The 6,879-nt window shown below is 44.3% G+C and overlaps 1 long non-coding RNA gene across 1 annotated transcript, besides 2 other annotated features; it reads left to right on the top strand.

Moving 5' to 3' along the window:
• Nucleotides 225-425: a silencer, noted in NCBI's record as "peak2036 fragment used in MPRA reporter construct". NCBI's record gives its function as "represses an SCP1 promoter by STARR-seq MPRAs in K562 erythroleukemia cells {active_cell/tissue: K562}" and the evidence as "EXISTENCE:reporter gene assay evidence [ECO:0000049][PMID:32103011]".
• LOC105370069 (uncharacterized) lies at nucleotides 2,155-4,773 on the top strand. Its single transcript, XR_945530.3, has 3 exons — nucleotides 2,155-2,365; nucleotides 3,123-3,320; nucleotides 4,579-4,773. It is a non-coding gene; the product is annotated as an uncharacterized LOC105370069 (long non-coding RNA).
• Nucleotides 3,305-3,805: an enhancer, noted in NCBI's record as "H3K4me1 hESC enhancer chr12:128204606-128205106 (GRCh37/hg19 assembly coordinates)". NCBI's record gives its function as "activates a minimal SCP1, AML or CMV promoter by ChIP-STARR-seq in primed H9 embryonic stem cells {active_cell/tissue: H9 hESC(primed)}" and the evidence as "EXISTENCE:reporter gene assay evidence [ECO:0000049][PMID:30033119]".
• Nucleotides 4,774-6,879: the final 2,106 nt, after the last annotated feature.

The following is a 6,879-nucleotide window of genomic DNA, read 5'->3' as shown; positions in this document are numbered from 1 at the left end:
GGTGGATTCTGAAAACGTCATGAAGAGTCTCCCCACATTCCCAGGATATAAGCTTTATGTGCAGCAATTACACGAATGGATATAGAGACCCAAGCTGCTGTGGATCTGCAGGACCTGAGTGGAAGTTTGTTTATTTTTATTTTTATTTTTCCTGCACAGCCTCTGTCACCACTGTCCTCCTGGCAGCATCCTGAATTGCGAAGAGCCACCCCGCCCCCCAGACATTCAGTGACCTAGACTCAGACCTCTGGGGAAGGACACAGTCTCCAGGCTCAGCCAGTAGGCAGGGGACTGTGACAGAAAGGGACATGTGGCCAAGTCCCTCTGGTGAGATACAAACCTGGACTTTGGCCAAACCTGGTGAGAAAGAGGTTTAATCTCAAAATCAATCTCGCTCTTCCTTTCCACCCCCAGCTCCCTTTCCCCACTCCCTGCCTTCTGCTGTGGTTGTTAAGCTGATAGAACGTAAAGGCCTCCACCTGGAGCCAGCTTGCCTGAAATAATGCAGCCAAGAGGAAATCAGATCTGCGTGGTGAGGCCAGGCTGGGCTGACTGAGTGCTAACAGCATTGTCTGAATAACGCAGTCTCTCCATGTTGAACCTGGCCTTCAGCTTTTCAGACACTGCAGTTGACTAGTGGAGGAGAGAACTTGGCTAATTCATTCTCCCATTTCCTTCGTGCCTCACCTGGGTCCTGCCAGTGGCTCTGCACAGCCACAGTTACGGTGGGCAGTGCATCTTCCCAGGTACTTACCTCCCAAATACCTTTTCCCCCTACTTGATCCTGAGCATGATAGAGACTTTCTATACCTTCCAGGTCCTGGAAGGTGGCTTGACAGTCCTTGATTCTCTAATCCTGCCCAGGTTTTCTGTAAATAGGCCCTTTGTTAAATTATTTTCACTACACTTTCTGTGAATGTCATCCTGTCTTCTCAGGGCCCAAATTGATACAGGAAGTTGCCACTTTCAAGACCTATGGACTGGCTGTTGGAAAATTGCCCACGGACAGTCCCCACGAGCATGGGAACAGATGGCCGTCTCTGTGTTGGACGCCAGGAGAAGCTGTTGGCTTACATTGAAGGGATAGATTATAAAAAGCTATGATTCTTCAAACACTAGAGTCATAGGCAGTAGAATGAGATGCTCAGATGCTGAGACTTTTGGACTGAAGCAAACCATCAGCCCTAGATTTTAGTCTTTCTTTTCCCGCTTGGCTTTGGAGGCAAACACTCAATGGAACCACTGACTGATTTACCAGAGCGATTTAGCTGGTTTCCGCCTTCTCTCAAAATTCTCTCTCTCTCTCTCTCTCTCTCTCTCTCTATCTATCTATCTATCTCTATCTCTCTCTCACCTCCCCGTTTCCCTCTCTCCCTGGGCAACACACACACAAAGGTGAATTTGAGTAACTTAAATTTATCTACGATGAAACTGAATTGAATGTAATAAGCTCCATCATTATTTATTTTTTTTTTTAAGTTTTATTTTATTTTTTTTTGAGACGGAGTCTCACTCTGTTGCCCATCATTATTATATAAATGCTATAAAGTCATGATTCTCTGTTTCCTTCATGGTTTTATACACAGTTCTTAGGACAAAGACTCTCTCCTTGACCAAACTTTAGTCAGGCTTCTCTGAGCCTCTTCTAGACTAGGTCTATGAGAATTACAGACTCTCAGCGTGAGCAATTTTGTCCATCCTCGCCCCAAGAGGCTTGAGTAAGCACTAGCATTGTTTCTGTGAGCTCAAGTCTGGGTCCCTAGGATGACAACCCCACCCTCTTTTTTGTTTTTTAGAGACGGAGTCTCACTCTGTTGCCCAGGCTGGAGTGCAGTAGCGTGATCTCGGCTCACTATAATCTCCGCCTCCCAGGTTCAAGAAATTCTCCTGCCTCAGCCTCCCGAGTAGCTGGGACTACAGGCACATGCCGCCACGCCCAGCTAAATTTTTTGTATTTTAGTGGAGACAGGGTTTCACCGTGTTCTCCAGGCTGGTCTCGAACTCCTGAGCTCAGGCAATCTGCCTGCCTTAGTCTCCCAAAGTGCTGGGATTACAGGCGTGAGCCACCGTGCCCAGTCCCCACCCTCTTAAGTTCTTCCCTGAGGAGGCTCAAGACTGCTGAAAAAGTCTACTGCTTGTCCCAGCCAAGTCCTGACTATATGCCCCTGCCTTTCTTTTCTCAAAGCATTCGCTTGAGAAAACTTGCCATTGTAAATTCTATCTCTGCTCTTTTAAGGATGTAAATCTTCTCCCGGACTTCTCCCAGGTTTTCAACCTAGAAGCATCTTTCTCCTGGACCTGGAAGCGATCCCTTTGAAACACAGTCATAAAGACAGGGCCTCTGTCTCCTGGGTCCTGTGGGAAGGTAGGAGCCTAACTCAGATAAGTGCCATTTAGCAAACACGGGTGGCCTGATCACATCCAATGCTCCCCTTAATATCCTTCTGTACTTTTCACTTAGCACATCCTGGAATTTTAAAAGCCTCCTGCCTTTTGTATCACTGAAGTTGAACTCAGTTGATACTGAAATCTCTCTCCCCTTCAACAGTTGTATGTATAAAATATGTCTTACTTTTTTTTTTTTTTTTTTTTTTGAGATAGAGTCTCACTCTGTCACCCAGGCTGGAGTGCAGTGGCACAACCTTGGCTCACTGCAACCTCCGCCTCCTGGGTTCAAGTGATTCTCTGGCTTCAGCTTCCCAAGTAGCTGGGATTACAGGCACACACCACCACACCTGGCTAATTTTTATATTTTTAATAGAGACGGGGTTTCATCATGTTGGCCAGGCTGGTCTCGAACTCCTGACCTCTGGTGATCCACCCGCCTCGGCCTCCGAAAATGCTGGGATTACAGGCATGAGCCACTGTACCCAGCCCAAATTATGTCTCACATTTTAAACAAGAGTCTGGCTTTCTGCTGTTTGACACTTCACACATAGAAGTTAAATAAGTACTTGCTAAATAAATGAATAAGTAATTGTTTCCTAAGGGAAACAACCAAGTTTCCTCATGTGAAACATTGCAAGATACTAAGTGCATAATAAATGCTTAATAAATACCAATGGATGGGGAACTGGTTGTGGAGCCCTTGACCCTAGGTTCTGTGTCTGTCTTTGCCACAGAGTCCTCAGGTGACCTTGGGAGTTCATGCTTCCTCTCTAAGCCTTCGACCCCAAGCTGAAACAGTGGAGCTGCTGGAGATGGTACTGGGTGCCCCTGCTAGCTGAGACATTGCAGGACTTTTGGGACACGAGGTTCTGCCACTCTGATCAGTCGTCATCACCGTGTGTGCACAAGAGAACCCTGCAGAGCTTCCCATGGTGCGTCCACGCAGCCGCCTTGTTCCTGGCAGCCCAGAGGCTGCACTGCCCACTCCCAACGCTTCCTCCCGCTTCCTTCACAAGGAGCGCAACGCTCTGGCAATGCTCGTCCTTGGGTATTTTAATTAACTAACCACTCAGCCTTTTATTTGTCAAACACACATTTACAATTAGCTCTATTTGGCTTCCTAGCTTCCCAATTGAACATGAAGAAGAATTAACTAATTAAACTAATACATCTATTATTTAAGGTTTGTTTACCTTTCTCAAAATTTTGAGGAACACTGGTTCTTTTCCAATCGTTGGTTAAAAAGCTAATTATAGAAAAGGACCTGGTTTGTAGACAGAGCACAGAATGTGGGCTGCACACAGGTCAGTTCTTTTTATTTTTTTATTTTTGAGACACAATCTCGCTGTATTGCCCAGGCTGGAGTGCAGTGGTGCGACCTCCGCTCACTGCAACCTCTACCTCCCAGGTTCAAGTGATTCTCCTGCCTCAGCCTCCTGAGTAGCTGGGATTACAGGTGCGGGCCACCAGGCCCAGCTAATTTTTGTATTTTTAGTAGAGTTGGGATTTCACCATGATGGCCAGGCTGGTCTTGAATTCCTGACCTTAAGTGATCCACCCACCTCAGCCTCCCAAAGTGCTGGGATTACAGGTGTGAGCCACCATGCCTGGTCACACACAGGTCAGTTCTGAAGGCAGACTTTCAGATCTTCAGGGTTTGCTGATTCTGTCACTGAGAAAGCCCTCTTAGGATATGTGGATCAGCTGGTCCATGCAGTGGAGCAAATGTTGCATGGGAATCTCAGATGTGGAGTGAAACCAACCTGTCAGGAAACTCAGGCCCATGCCTCACTTTGAGCTCTGCAATGCCTTTGTCTCCGTGATCCATTAGACATGTGAGTCTGGAAAAGTTAATCAACACTTTGGGCCCCAGAACCTTTTCCCATGAAATGCAGAATAAAGTACTCTTATCTGAGAATTGCTGAATGATTGTGTACCATCCCCTGTGTCAATGAATATTAGCTGATTTCCAGGATTCTTAGCTGCAGAGAAGGGTAATAGAAAGTAGATACATTATTGATTTAGTAACAGCTTTATAGGTATAAGAAATACTACTCTACTAAAGGTTAATATATTTTATTATGGTAGTGTGTTTGTTTATGTATAAAACAATGCTAGAAAACTAATGTGAAAATATGGGCAATTCAGAGCCAAATAATATACTTTATTCTTCCTTCCCACTTTTCACAGCTACAGCCATTCAAACCTCTAATCCTTGGAATCCTGGTGTGGGAAAACTCAAGTGAAAATGCCCAGGAAATTCTGATTGCTGCAGAGACATTGAGGGAATCAGCGAATCTGGCAATGAGGTTCTTACTGCAACCCCTAGAGGCAGCTGTCTTAATGAAGATGTGGGAACAGGGAGGCCTATTGCAGAGAAAAAAGGTGGTTGCTATGGTTTGGCTGTGTCCCCACCCAAATCTCATCTTGAATTGTAGTTCCCATAATCCTCTCATGTCCTTGGAGGCACCCAGTTTCATGGGGTAATCGAATCATGGGGGCAGTTTCCCCCATGCTTTTCTCATGACAGTGAGTGAGTTCTCACAAGACCTGATGTGTGTGTGTGTGTGTTTTTATTGTTTTGTTTTGTTTTGTTTTGTTTTTGTCACCCAGGCTGGAGTGCAGTGGTGCCATCTCAGCTTACTGCAACCTCTGACTCCCTGGTTCAAACGATTCTCCTGCCTCAGCCTCCCGAGTAGCTGGGATTACAGGTGTGTGCCACCACGTCTGGGGTTTCACCATATTGGCCAGGATGGTCTCGATCTCCTGACCTCATGATCCGCCCGCCTCGGCCTCCCAAAGTGCTGGGATTACAGGCATGAGCCACTGTGCCCGGCCTCTGATGGTTTCATAAGGGGCTTCCCCCTTCGTTTGGCTCTAATTCTCTCTCCTGCCACCCTGTGAAGACGTGCCTTCCGCCATGATTGTAAGTTTCCTGAGGCCTCCCCAGCCATGTGGAACTGTGAGTCAATCAAACCTCTTTTCTTTATAAATTACCCAGTCTCGGGTATTTCTTCATAGCAGAGTGAGAACGGATGAATACAGTGGGGGAGAGAGTTGCTGTGTTTATATTTTATGTGTTAAATGCTCTTGGATGATCTTCACTCCTCAGAATTCTCTTGGGTTCTCAGCTTTCCTTAGTTTTCCAGGAGCATTGTTTGATATTTTCACTGAATGTGTTTATACCTTTTTCTTTATGAATAAAATCTGGGCAAATCAATTATCTTAAAATAATGTCCTCTAATTTCTAGATTAAGGACTCATTAACTCAATATTTTTAGATGTATTTTTAGTGTTATTTTTAGATGTATTTTTGATACTAATTGGTTATTTGCTTTTCTGCTTCTCTTCCTGAAATGCAGTTCTCACTTCTTCTGGGATTAAAATTAATTACTATTCAAAGGACATTGACAGAAGTTGAGTAATAATACTAAGCATAGTCTACTCTTAGTATTATTTCCTTCACATCAGCAGGTCTCTTATTCAGGTTATGAGACCGCTTTGAAATTAGTGGAGAGAAAAGTTAATGCTAAACTAATATTTGTTTTTTTGCAAATCAAGGAGATAAGTCATTTCAATGTCCCTGATGGTTCCATCTAGAAATAGAGATCACAGGTGATGAAGGAGATGATAATGATGGTGATAATAAGGATGGCAGTAATGAGAAAAGCTTCAATTAACTGGGTGTCTAATTTGGGACATGTCTCAATCAGAATAGAATAGTAAGTGCTTTTCAAAGAGAATTCAGATGACCAGCACCATCAGCATTGCATGGGATCCTGTTAGAAATGCAAATTTTGGACCCCAACACAAGACCTACTATACTGCAATGTTGGGGAGTTGAGCCCAGAGATATGGATTTTAGTAATCCCTCAAATGATTCTTATGCATGTTTAAGTTGGAGAAATAGTGACTAAGTAATGATGTGGCAACAAACAAGCCCAGAATTTCAGTGACGTAAACCTCCGAGATTTATTCACTGATCACACTGTGGGTCCTTATGGGTCATCTGCTGTCTGCTCGCCACGTCACTCAGGGGCCTAAGCTGATGGTGCAGCCCCACATGGAAACTGCTGGTGGCTATGGCAGAGGAAAAGAAAAGAGAGAAAATATGCTCTGCTTCTGGCTGTCAACATTTCAGCCAGGAGTATGCCCTTCCAGTCAATTAGAAGCCACACTCCACACTTAAATCTACTGTTACTGCATCCTTGACAACGATCTTCTTCCCTGAAACGTCTCCTGTGTGATGGATTGAGGGTGCAAATACCGATGGCTTTCTATTTCTCTTCTTTTCTCATCTCAACTCAAACTAAACATTTTTTTCAGGAAAAGAAGAAGAACAAAGGATCTCCACAGATTAATGATTGGGTTTATTCTTTGAATGTTTGATTCTTTTATAGTTTGATTTGAGATAAATCCTGGTGATGCTAATTCCCAACATAAAATGTCATCTGAGTTTAAATGGGTGACAGTGTTTTCTTCATTTAAGAT

This window comes from Homo sapiens, chromosome 12 (genome assembly GCF_000001405.40).
Source record: "Homo sapiens chromosome 12, GRCh38.p14 Primary Assembly".
Lineage (NCBI taxonomy): Eukaryota > Metazoa > Chordata > Mammalia > Primates > Hominidae > Homo > Homo sapiens.
The sequence above is the reverse complement of the archived record's forward strand: the minus strand, read 5'-3'. Positions and strand labels throughout refer to the sequence as shown.